The following is a 13690-nucleotide window of genomic DNA, read 5'->3' on the forward strand; positions in this document are numbered from 1 at the left end:
TTGCCTTCCACCATGATTGTGAGGCCTCCCCAGCCATGTGGACCTTTGAGTCCATAAACATCTTTATAAATTACCCAATCTCAGGTATGTCTTTATTAGCAGTCTGAGAACAGACTAATACAGCATACTAGTCAAAAAGCACCCCTGGGTGGCACAGGGGTGAGAAGAAGGGGATATGCTGGGGAGAAAAGAACTGAAGGAGGGGAGGGAAGATACCTAAGAAGAGGAACTACAAGAACTCTCTAAAAGTCCTAGGCTCTGACCAAACCAGGCAACACAAACCAGAATAAGTCACTACCTAGCGGGCCCTTAAGCACACCCAAGTTTACCCAACTCTGCCGAAGATGAATTGGAACAATGCCTTTTCCTTGGGCCTTATTTCATCTGATGCTCATGACAATGTGGCAAGGTGAAGCAGGGATTATTCACCCATCTTACAGATGGGCATCCCTGACCCATGGCAACCAGGGGCTGGCCCACAGTTGGCAGCTGATGGTAACATGGCCCTTATACCACCTGCTTCCCACCACATGACCCCAGAGCCCCATTTTGAACTGAATCCAAAAATATAGATTTCTCTGAGTCTTCGTATTCTCTGAAACTACTGAACCAAGACATCAAAATACTCTCCAAACAAAACTGTCCTTTCATCCATTTCTGAGACCTTCTATAGAGAAGACCACCAGATAGCCCTTTGCCTGTGGGTAGGGGCAAGCACCTGAGGTCAGCTGGAAAAAAAAAAAAAATCAATCCAAGGAGGTCATCCCTCCACCAGTCTAGAATTCCCGCTGTTTAAATGTCTTTTTTCTAACCCAGGGTATAAAATAAATTAGGAGTGCAGGAATGTTAAACTTCAAGGCGGAATTTAATATATATATATATCCACACACCTACAGCTGAAACTTTTTGCTTGAGAATTACATACACACGGTGGATGTATCGATGAACCTGCACAGGGAAGACTCAGAATCAGGCTGTGGATCAAAAGGGACATTGAAGAGCATCTCATCCAAATGACCCCTGCATTTTGGGAAGGAGAAAGCTGAGGCTCAGGAAAGTCAAATGACTCCTCCAAGGTCACAGAGCTGCCAGCCAGTGAATCTGTCACCTGCCTATTCCAAACTCCAGACCACGCCCTCCCCTTGTGGGGGGTGAGAAGAGTCGACTCTTTTGGCTCTGTGGCACTTCCTCTGAGGACAACAGGCGCACACACTCATCAGGAGAGTCATTGCTCCCGTCAGCATCCTGAACAGTGAAATGCCTCGGGCTGCGGCACAGCAGAAGGGCTGCTGGTGTATTCACACCATTGGGCAGGACAAGCAAGGATTGGAGGGATGTGGTGAGAAGAGGGCAGAGGAGAGGTGGCCCATGCAGGAGGCTCCCCATGAAAGGAATGGAGATGGGTGTGAGCAAAGGCACACCGGCCAGAGGAGGCTCAATATGATCAGAGCTATTCCATTGGAATAGACAGAATTGGCTGAGCACAAATGCAGGGCTGCTGTATGATTCCATTCCTGCAGCTCTCAAGAAGAGGTAAAACTAATGCAAGGTGATCAAGGTCAGAACAGTGACAGGCTTAGGATGGGCAGGGTGCTGTTCCTGGGAAAGCATGGAGAGACTTTCTTTCTTTTTTTTTTCTTTCTGAGACAGAGTCTTGCTCTGTCACCTAGGCTGGAGTGCAGTGGCGCAATCGCGGCTCACTGCAACCTCTGCCTCCCAGGTTCAAGCAATTCTCCTGCCTCAGCCTCCTGAGTAGCTGGGATTACAGGTGCGTGCCACCACACCTGGCCAATTTTTGTATTTTTAGTAGAGACGGGGTTTCACCATGTTGGTCAGTCTGGTCTTGAACTCCTGAACTCATGATCCACCCTCCCAGTCTCCCAAAGACCGGCCTCAGGCTGGTCTCGAACTCCTGACCTCATGTTCCACCCACCTCAGTCATGTGCTGGGATTACAGGCGTGAGCCACCGCACCCAGCCTGCATGGAGAGACTTTCTGGGGTGATGGAAATGTTCTCTACCTGGATCTGGGAAGTGATTGCACAGGTGGATGCAAATGTGAAAAGTTATTGAACTGTACATTTCAGATCTGCACATTTAATTGCATGAGTTATGCCTCAAAAAAATCTGGTGGGAAAAAAATCAAGAATGGATCAAATAGGCTACGTGAGGAGGTAATGACTCCTCTGCTCCTAGAAGCATTCAGACCTAGGCTCTGTGACTGTTCAGTGTGGCCACAATTTGAGCATCAGGGGATGGGGCTGCAGGCTGCCCTGCTTTCAAGGGACCTCAGTAGTTCTGGGAATCCAAGGGCTGGCAAGGAAGCCACATCCTCATACAGCTCCTGCTGACATCTGCCCAGGCTGGGTCTGTCCCTGTGGTTTCCTGGGGGCCGTAAGCGCTGCCACTGTCCTGCATAGAGGGCTTCCTCCGTGCCCTCCTCCAGTCACACACACACCATAGAGCCAGGCAGTGCCTCCAGACCCACTCCTATATCTTGCCCAGTCTCTTGCCTGACCCTTCCCTAGACCCACGATGTGCCCCAAGACTCCTCTCAGTCTTGCAGACCTTCCCTTGCTCGTGGCCCTCCTTTGCCCAGGAGAGGGATGGTGCTTCCCAGCTCTGGACCCCATAGCCCAGGCCAGCCCAGACTTGCCCAAACTCAGTGCCTGGTAGCCCCCTTCCCTTACACATCCTGGGCTCCCAAGCCCCCAAGCCTCAACTAAAGCTCAGTCCCTGTGTTTGAAGGCCCTGTGTGTCTGAGATGAGCCCCGAGCTGGGCTGGCCTGACACCTTCCCACAGGAGTCCCCATGTGTGTCCTGACAGGAGCTCACACACCCAGTCCCATATCTGCAGGACAAAATTCTCTCGACAGCCTAAGGCCCCTCGTGTAGACATGCTTACTTAAACATGGCATTGTATGTCACTCACCCATCTCATTTCTGCATCAGAACCAGTTGGTTCAATGTCCTTGTCCCAAAACAGAAAGCTATAAATTCCTTCGTTCAATTTGATGACATAAGTAAACATGGATTCAAAGAGTTTAGCTCCAAGGTTGCTCAGTGTGAGGAATTGACTGTGACTAAGGATTTATCCATCATGAAGCTGAAGGACTCTCAAAGAACAAACATGGCAACAGCAATAAATCAGGAATTACAGAAATAACAGCAGACACATAAGTCCTTCCAGGAGGCTGCCTCCAAGAACTGGGTAAGACAAGACCCCAGGACTCCTGTTCTGAGCACCTCCCAGCAGGCACACCCAAGTCAATCTGCTCTGTCAGTCCTCACCTGAAGAGGCAGACTTAAATTCCCACTCATCAAATGGGAAGACTGAGATCACACAGGCTAGCGTGTGGCTGATCTGGGGTGCCAGAGAAAAAAATCAATCGCACCTGCCCAAAAAGTTTTCAGGATGCTGCTGGAGAGACAACCAAGAGCAGCTAACAGTGCGCTTAACACTTACTGAATGGCTATTTTGGCTAGGCAGTTTTCTATGGCTCTTTGTAAGTATCATCCTACACTGTGTGTATTAATACATTCAATGCTCACAGCAACCTTCTCAGAATAATACTATTATTGCCTGGCATTTTAAATCCAAAAAAATCAGGCCCCTGAGAGGTTATGCAAGCACACGGTCATATAGCTGATAAAAAAAATGCTTTTTTTTTTTTTTTTACTTATTTGTTGTTTCTTGCCAGTGTCTACCACTAGAATGAGGGGAAAGGTTGATAGCTGTTTCTTCAGTGCCCAGCTGAGTGCATAGCACATTGCAGATGTTCAATAAATATCTGCTGAATGAATGTCTGACTGGGCCAGGACTTGAACCCAGTAGTCTGGTTCAGAACTAAGCTCATAAACAGTCAAATAACAGTGCAAAGTCAAATATTGATCCAGGAAAATAATGCAAGTGTTGTCACAAGGTATTGAGAATAAATTTCAGTTAGGTATAAGGAAGACCAGGAGGGCTATGATACCAGGGTGGGTTGGTAAGGAAGATCTGAAATCTTCTTATCTAGAACTTGTTAGAACTAATCAAGGTCAAAGTGACCTCTTCATACCCCTCCCTACATAGAGGACACAAAAAACCCTGTCAGGGAAGAGCAAAAGGGGTTAAAGTATTAGCCAGCCAGGGTTCCTACAGGGCGCAAGGAGCCCTAGTTTTCTAAGTTCCCCACGGCAGATGGCTTACTCCATTACTCTGACTCCTGCTCCCTGGGCTGCTGACTTAAACCCTCTCAAGTGTGAAGGGACATCCCATGGCCCACCCCTAAACTGTGCATCAGTTCCTCTGCCTGGATCCCTTAAAGAAAGTCATCCCTTTGGCCGCAACCCCACCCCAGAGCTGGGAAATTCCAGGTGAGAAGCCTTGAGCTCTCCGGCTCCAAGATCTAGGAGAAGCTTGGGCAGGACTTCCCTTCCCTCATCTGCAAGGCCCAGGAGATGCCTGAAACCAGCGCCTCACAGCCTGCAGTGAGCAGACATATCTCCTGGTCTTTTGCCAAAAGTGGATTCTGACTTAGTCCATATGAGATGGGCCTGAAATTGGACATTTATAACAAACTTCCAGGGGATGCCCCTGCTGCTGGTTCCTGGGCCACATTTTGAGAAAACAGACTGTAAATAATCCCACTTTCATTTGTTTGTTTTCTGCCAAAACTTATTCTTCAACTAATCTTAAGAAAGGACATAGTTATAAATCTATATAAAGACTGCATACCCACAAGGGTGCTTAGGAGGGTGTCCACCCTTTCATTTAAGGGCCTTCTGTGTGCCAGGAACAGGGATTAAGGTGGACAACTGTCCTCGTCCTCGTGGAATCCACAGTCTACACAGGAGACAGTTAAAGGAGCAAGCCCAATGCAGGATGGGCAGTGTGGAGGCCAGGTGCCCTGGGGACTGACGGAAGACTTCCTGGAGGAAGTGACATTTGAGCTGGACAACTGGAAAGAGTGTATTGTGGGATCCCTGGCCCAGGACTCTCTAGCTGTTCCTACCAATGCCCGCCAGCCCTTCTCCGTCAGGCTTCCTGACTATTTTTGTCGTTTGTCATGGCCCACTTGGAAATAATATTTGTAGGAGATAAATGGGGGAGACAGCTCACAGCCAGAGGGCTAAGCAGATCACTACCCCAACACACACCCCTAACCACTGGGGCACCCGGTTGGGGGCTTCCACCCCAAGCCCACTCAGACATGCCTGTCCTAAGGAGCATATGGCAAGGGCCCCCACAGTACACGTGGAAAGTGCTTGATGATTTTCAAATCACTTTCACATAGGTTTTCTCATTTGAGTCTCACAACCAGGGCAGGCGTTATTGACCCCGTGTTATTGGTGGGGGGAAGAAATGAGCTGTGAAATGACTCAGCAGGGCCCATGGTGAGTCAGCACCAGGACTAGGCGGGCAGGCCTACAGAAGGACGTTCAGGCCTCAAAATAGGCTAAGCTGCATTGCCACAAATTTTTAAAAGAAGAAAAATGATGATGTGGAAGTACCACCCTTCCTGGGGGGAAAAAACAAAAAACAAACAAACAAACAAACAAACAAACAAACAAAACACTGTCTGTTTCTCTTAAATGCTCTAGACTCTTCCCACCTTCACATTTCAATGGTTGTCCATTGAAATCTATACATTGGCTGCTACTGCCCCTAAGATTCTGAGAACACCTGGCGAATCTCCTCCATGGTGAAAAGCTTGCCTTTCCTCAATACAGCAAAAGCCCTGTAAATGGAACAGTCCACAGTTCGGGAAGACTCAGTGACATAACCTAGAAATAGTTGACTCTAAGCAAGTGGAAGCAATTGCCGATTCAGGATACACACCAGACTTTTCCACAGCTGCGTCAACAATAGCTATAGGAAAGAAATCAAGACAGTACAGGAGGCTTTGGCCACAGATCCCAGGTACCTAAATCAGCCAAGCTTTGGAAGGAAGCCACTTCAAATGTTCATGTTCAAACAATGCTGCAATATTTCTTTGTTTCCACTGAGGTTTCCACTGAATAACAGCTGTCAACAACTCAGGAAGACGGTGGTTTGGTCCAAGTCTTTCTTCTTTGTAAGTGTTCTTTTATAAACATTATATTGCTCTTTTCAGCAAGGGCAATATAAAGGCATGTACAATTATTCCAGAGGGGCCACATATGTCCACATGTGTTCATGGCTTTATTTAGTGTCTGCATCTGAGAGGTGAAACAAAAGTCCAACATATTTTTAAAAAGTATTCTTAAATATATTGTTGAAGGAGGAGGTCATGGAAACACTTTCTCCTATCTGCTAGAAGGGTCCTCTGGTCTCAACAAAAGTTTCAATAGAAGAAATGGTGGTCAGCATGGGCTGCAGGAAGTGGGGAAGGGAAGTTGGCGTTTAGTGGGTTAGCATTCCATTTGGGAAAATGAGAACGTTCTGGAGATGGATGGTGGTGATGGTTGCAGAATAACATGGATGTACTCAGTGTTCCAGAACTATGCACTTAAAAATGGTGAAAATGGGCTGGGCACAGTGGCTCACACCTGTAATCCCAGCACTTTGGGAGGCCGAGGCATAGGCAGATCACTAGGTCAGGAGATCGAGACCATCCTGGCTAACATGGTGAAGCCCCTTCTCCACTAAAAATACAAGTAATTAGCCGGGCGTGGTGGCTGGTGCCTGTAGTCCCAGCTACTCGGGAGGCTGAAGCAGCAGAATGGCGTGAACCCGGGAGGTAGAGCTTGCAATGAGCCGAGATCACGCCACTGCACTCCAGCCTGGGTGACAGAGCGAGACTCCGTCTCAAGAAAGACAGACAGACAGACAGACAGACAGACAGAAAGAGGTCAATTTAACACTATGTATTTTTCACCATAATAAAAAGCATGCCCAAAACAAGTTTTGATAAAATTTTTAAAAACTATCATCATGCTGAAAAGAATCTAGGAGATTTTAAATGTTTATTATACTCTTCTGCTTCATGTTTAACAATAGCCCATGTGGGCTGGGCATGGTGGCTCATGCCTGTAATCCCAACAGTTTGGGAGGCTAAGATGGGAGGATCACTTGAGCCCAGGAATTTGAGAACAGCCTGGGCAATATAGTGAGACCTCATCTCTACAAAAAAAATAGTAAGAAAATTAGCCAAGTACAGTGGCCCATGCCTGCAGTCTTAGCTACTTGGAGGCTGAGGCAGGAGGATCAAGGCTGCGGTGAGCTATGATTGTGCCACTGCACTTCAACCTGGGAGAGAGTATGAGATCCTGTCTCTAAAAGGAAAAAACAAAGAAAAGGAATAGCCCATGTGACTTCACCTAATCATGAACTCTGCATTCAGAGTACCTGATCTGCTGTGCACACTCAGGAATCGTGGACATCCGGGACTGCTGGGCCTCCCATGCCCGTCCCCAGCCAGGCCAGTGTCTGAGCCATGCCCTGCAGCAGCAGTGCTCTGCTTCCTGGGCTGCCCATAGGGGCTGTAGGCAAGTTCTCACCCGGCCCTCTCATCTGGACAGCTACATCTGTCACAATGGGTTCAAGTGACCGAACCAATGAGATCACAGGAAAAAGTCAAGAACTGATTCTTCTAACTCTTTGCTCAGCTAGCCAAAGCTTTTGGTGTTTTCAGTCAACTGATTCCAGGCAAACATTTCCTAGGTTACAACGTGCAGCCCACCTCACCACCATCTTGAGACAGCTCCACAGTTGGCTGTCAGGCTGGACAGTGGCTCAAGGGCACAGTTGCGGGGTACATTGTCTCTCACCTGCTGTCCAGGAGTGCCCTGTGGGACTCACCAGGAGGTACATCTTGTGATGGATGTTGAAACAAGAAACCCAAACATTGCTGGAAGGACCTCTGCTTTCTAGTTCTGAAATCGTTTTTCATCTTTCCTCCATTAAAACAGTTCTTCTGAAGTCATTTTTTTTCCATGGATAAGATGTGTTGTCTTCCCAATGCCTTGCCCATAGACAAACCCCAAAACAAGAATACTTATTGCTTATGGATTGCCTACCAAGGGCCAGAGGCCCCACTCTAGCATCTCTTGTAATTTTCCTAAGAGCCCTGCAGGAGTTTTTATCCCACTTGAGGGATAAGGGGAATGAGGCTCAGAGATGTCAAGTAACTTTCCCCAGCTCACACAGCCAGGGAGTGGCAGAATCAGACTCAACCCCAGATCTGCCTCCCTCCATAACCACACTACCTCTGAAAAGAAACACAAAACTTGGAGAGCTCCACACCACACAACTCACACCGATCCTGAGTTCAGCTGTGACATCCGGATATTTGCAGAACTCTGGGTCAGTGATTGAAATGATCTGTTTTCAGAACAGAGGCCGCCCCAGATGCTAACCACCTCGCAGCCCCCTGTGGAATGGCTACCACCCAGGAGGCCCTCAGGAATGATGTCTAGTCACAGAATTCAACGTTGAATGCTATTTGTGTTAGTTGCCTGGATGTAGCCCATTCAATAATTCAGCATCAGAATGATAACAAACCACATGAAAGAGATCAGCACATGCTGTGGAAGGCTGCTTGACAGAGCAAGGCAACACCACGGTATCAGGTTTTCCCCTAAAATTAGTCTCCATACGGTACTCATAACGCTGTCTGGACTTCAGGCAAAGAACTGGCCGGTTGGCAGCATCCATTTACAGAATACATTCCCACAGCGTACCTGGAAAATCACATTCACATCTAACACCGAGGATCTGGCCAGCCCTTCCGTGGGAAGCGAAGCCAAGGTGAGAGAAAGTATCTCTGATGGGGCGGAGGAGAACAGATGGGCACAGGGTCTGTACACGCCCCAGTGAGTGAGGAAGGGCAGTCCGTCCAGAGGGCAGGTGAAAAGCAATACCTAGAACATTGATGGAGGCCCTTGTCTGTTCCAGGGGGAGGGGGCTCAAGGGGTCCCGGACCCCTTTCTCTCGAATTCAGGCAAACCAATGCTCCCCAACCCCAGCTGACAAGCATCGGCTCTGACCTCATTGCCTTGTTTGTAAGCCCTCCCACATCATCTGCAGGGGTGAGCATGCATAATCAGGCAAAAGAAAAGACCTTGGAACATGTGGTTCTGGAAAATATTTCTAGTTAATTCAGAGGTTCTCCAACTTCATCGTGCATCAGAGCCCCCTGGCAGGCTTGTGAAAACACATGTTGTGGGCCCCAGCCCCAGGGTCTCTGATTCAGCAGGTACTGGGTGGAGAATTTGCTTCTCTAAGTTCCCAGGTGATGCTGATGATGCTGGCCCAAGGACCACACTTTGAGAACCACCAGTCTAATTATTTAAAGTAAGTGATCTAAGGGCATGAGAACATTGCTCTGAATAACAAGGATATTATCATCGAATGCCTCCCATGTGCCAGACACTTTACTGCCTTGGATATTTACAACCCCCTTGCCAAGTAGGAATTAGTATCTCTGCTTCACAGACTAGAATGCTGGGGCTCAGGAGTTGAGTGACCTGCCTAACATTGCACAGCTCATGATTGAGGGAGCCGAGATTTTAACTGAGGTCAGGATGACTAGGACCTTCCTTCTTTCCACCTCCTTTCCCATCTCATCTGGTGACCCTGGGACAGGGGAAGGATTCACGAAAACCCTGTGTTCTGACAATGCCAAGTGCCACGCAAGCCGACTGAAAACCCAGCTCACGGACAGGCCGGCCACCTTTGGGGATATGATGTTCACAGGCACTTCAGGTCCCTAAGCAGTGACAGATGCCACAGACTCTGAGCTGGCCTGGCAGAGAATCAGGTGACAGGTGGACTCTTGAGTTACACCTATCCTCAAAGAGCAACAGTGCCTTCCATTTGAATGGCGTTACAGCTGACGGTCCTCACCTCCAAGTGTGGGGAGGAAAGTTGAGTCTGTGATAGACAAGGCGTGCACTTTAGAGGCGGAAGTATTGTGTTGCCTGTGCGCCCTGCCAACTCGAAGAAGGAGAGGAAGGAAAAGCAACTACTACTCACTAAGTACCTACTGTGAGCCAGATTACTCTTCATACCAACCATCTGTTTTAGGAATCAGGAAGCTGTGATCAGAGAGGTTAAGTAACTTGCCTCAGGAGGCACAGTGAGCAAGAAACTGGGAGATGGGACTTGAACTCAGGTCTCCCAGAAGACTCCATCTGTGCCCACCCTCTGACAGGCCTAACAAAATCTCGGGTTCAGAGCAGATCCTTAAAGCCTTCCAGTCCAGCTCCCTGGTTAGGCTCATGAGACGGCCACGATGTGTCTGCCCAGTGACAACCAGCACAAACCGGAAGGTCCACCCCTCTCTGCCGTGTCACCTGCTGAAATTCCCCTTCTGCCTTAACATTCCCTCTGAACAGGAAAGAACATTTTCAACACCCCAACACCTTCCCAATAAGGAGTTTGGCAAGGGCAGGGCTGCTCCCCAATCCATGTGATTTTGAGGTTGATTTCACCAAGACACAAAGAACCTCTCGTCCTTTCTCACCAGCTCCACTTGCTGGGGCAGGAGCAGCTGCCTTCAGCCCGGAGGAGGGCTTTCCGAGACACCTGTGCCACAGGTAACCTGAGCTGGAACCTCAGTTCTACATAACTTGTACCTGGGGAGTTTGTGCCTCCCAGAGCCACAAAACACAGATTCAGGCAGAGCCACAGTGCAAACAGTCACGCCTGCTCTCCAGAGCCCAGCATGACTGCAGGATGACAACATACCCCACCTGGGAAAGCAGGCACCAGCCCTGCACAGACACCGCCTGGCCTCCACGTCAGCCTCTGTGTTGCACCGTCTCAGCCACATCTTTTCACAGATAAACCTCTGAAGTTCCCCCTACCCCCACCCCCATGCCCAGAGTTTCAGCTTCATAAGGTGCATAACCAGAAAAGCACTTGAGGGTAAACTGGGTTCACACTGGGCTCAGCCCCAGGGCCTCAAACAGTTCCTAGAGGAAAAATTCAGCCAGGCAGCAGAATCCTGAATCTTCTTCTGCTTTGGGGTGCAGAGAGAGCCTCCTCTTACATTCCAAAGCAGTCTGTCAGCCCAGGACACATGGCATTGTCACACTTCCCAGCAATGACCTTCTGATCTGAATTTCTGCCAGACTAAACATCCGGGCACCAGCGCGCAATGGAGAAGCCGCCGCCATTCACTGAGGTTGCTATCTCCTACCATTTAGTGTTGCCTCTTGCCTTGTTTGATAACAAGATGTTGTGTGTCTCAATGTAAATACAATCAGAGGCAGCATATGGCTCGCAAAACACCATTTACAACTATTAGCGTGCACCAGCTTTCTGCTCAGCTACGCTCCACGCTGCCATGGCGCAGAGTCGTGGGGGTCCGCCTTCTCCTTGGCCTCAATCTGTCTGCCGAGGCTCCCTCCGATGCTAATGAGAAGGAAGCATGTGGGTCCCGGGGAGACCAAGTCTCAGCATGCGGCGCTCAATGAAGTCAAGCAATCGTCCAAAGTGAAATATTGAATTGAAATGAACCTGCTGTTTCTGCAAGAAGATGTTTTTGGGCTAAGGCAGTTTCAAGATGCAATCCAACCAAAACATCCGTGAAACCAGAGAAACGGGGATCCTTGAGAACAGTCGCATTACAGCACAATTTAAATACATTCTGAATGTGTTTTTAGACATACCTAATTTCACCGGGCTCAAAGCTCAACTTATGGAGGGGATCGATGAATCGTGGGCGTCGTTACAGTCATGGGTTTTCCTTGTGAGAGTCTTCCAACTTTTTCAAAATGCGAGATTTTGCCAGGGTGATCTGGGCCAGCCCTTATCTTGCCACGCTGGTTGTAGAAATCTTAGTGGTGACCCTTCTGTAACATGGACACCATGAAAATGCTGCATGGGCCTTATCGACTCACACATTCACTTTTTGAAAATTTTTGTTTGTATGCTCATTCTATATGGGAATGCCGATCACATTCTGGGTCTCATTTTCAGACCCTCAGGGACAAGAAACTCAAACCTCTTCTCCATATCTTTTGTCCTATGTCTTTGGGGAAGGGGAAAAATACTACTGGGGCGGCCACAGTCAGCCAGGAGAGAATCAGGGGACCAGGTGAAGTGAGCAGGTAGAGGGGAACTGATGCAGCACAGGGCCTGGGGGAAGATACAGCAAATAAGTGAGATCAGGAACACGGTGAGAGCAAAGACAGGGTCAGACACAGGTCAGACCCAATCAGGACAGGGCCCACAGAGTGCAATCCAGCCTGAGACAGTGCCTGGACAGAAGCTTCCCAGAGAGATGACTGCAGCTGTTTCAGGCCTGCACGTGCTACAACCTTATGCCAACTACAAAAGGATACTCTTAGTCTGGGCCAACTGACCACACAGCCTTTACTCCAACTCTGCACCACTTCAGGAACCAACTGGAACAGAAGTGACCCATGGAGCCGCCCATGCCTCTTAAAAGCACCCTTCTGTCTAAGAAGGATGCCTCATCCAGAACCCCTGGAGCAAGGATAAGTCGCTACCAGGAGGTAAAAAGAGACAGCCTCGAGTGGTTATTCTTCAGCAGGGTCTTGCTCTATATGAGTAGTCAGCACTCTCAGGAGACACAGGCAAAAGGGACTCCTCCCCTGAGATGGTTTAGACAGCGCCACAGTCACAAATGCAAACAAACAAACAAAAAAATGTAATTTCTTTTTTTTTTTTCTTTTTTCTTTTTTTGAGAAGGAGTTTCCCTCTTTCGCCCAGGCCAGACTGCAGTGGTGCTATCTCGGCTCACTGCAAGCTCCGCCTCCCGGGTTCACACCATTCTCCTGCCTCAGCCTCCTGAGTAGCTGGGATCACAGGCGCCCACCACTGCGCCCGGCTAAAAAAAAACGTCATTTCATTAATGCTCACGGAGGTCCCTCAGTCGCTTGGGATCCAGCACTCATAATCCCAAACATCCACTCTTGTAGCCAGGAAACCCTTCTCCGTGGCTTCCCCATATTTTTTGCCCTATGTCTTTGTGGGGAGGGCTAAGGAAAGCCGCTCCCTCCAGGTGCCATGGAGGTCTGTGGACTGCACTGTGGCTGCTGATGTCGGAGAGGACAGTGTTTTGGAGTGGGAGATGATTTGAGTTGCTGACTAATATGGGTGAGAGAAAAGACAAATTCATATGACCTTTTCCCTCGGATACCATGAATGAACAGATTCTTGCATAACGAATAATCGTTTCCCAGTGGAGCGGTTCACCCATTTCCCCACCTCTCTTCCTGCTCTGATTCCTGTTCCTGGAGATACTGAAGAAGTAACATGGTATTTGCAACAATGGTACAAGGTAGCAGAGGAATATCGTGCAACGTTTAACAATTCCTGTTATTCTTAAGCCAGTATCTACGTCGATCTACATGCACCCATGCATGATGTAAAACAGAGCTTCTTTAGGTTGGCAACTGGATGGAAATTGAATGCTAGAAATGTGAAGTATGACTTACAAAAGTATTTAATAAGATTTTGTTTCATTTACAGAAAATCAAATTTAAAAGTCAGTTTTATTTCAAGAATTTTTATTTACCATTTTGACACTTATTAATTATAATTTGTAATTTTGCGTTTGACTTTTCATGTTAATGTTACAAGAAAAAATAACTTCTTTGAAAATAGATATGAGAAAATGCCTCTTTGATGTTTTCACATGTATTTTCTCATTTTTGATGAAAATATATTCAAATTTTGCATACTTTAAATACATTTACATTTTTAAAATCCTTTAGCTCATTGCTATCAATAGAACAAAATTATGTAAAAATGT

General features: G+C 47.9%; 1 annotated feature.

Moving 5' to 3' along the window:
* Window positions 9839-10776: an enhancer, noted in NCBI's record as "H3K27ac-H3K4me1 hESC enhancer chr1:235034177-235035114 (GRCh37/hg19 assembly coordinates)". NCBI's record gives its function as "activates a minimal SCP1, AML or CMV promoter by ChIP-STARR-seq in naive H9 embryonic stem cells {active_cell/tissue: H9 hESC(naive)}" and the evidence as "EXISTENCE:reporter gene assay evidence [ECO:0000049][PMID:30033119]".

The sequence above is a fragment of the Homo sapiens genome, chromosome 1 (assembly GCF_000001405.40).
Source record: "Homo sapiens chromosome 1, GRCh38.p14 Primary Assembly".
Taxonomy (NCBI): Eukaryota; Metazoa; Chordata; class Mammalia; order Primates; family Hominidae; genus Homo; species Homo sapiens.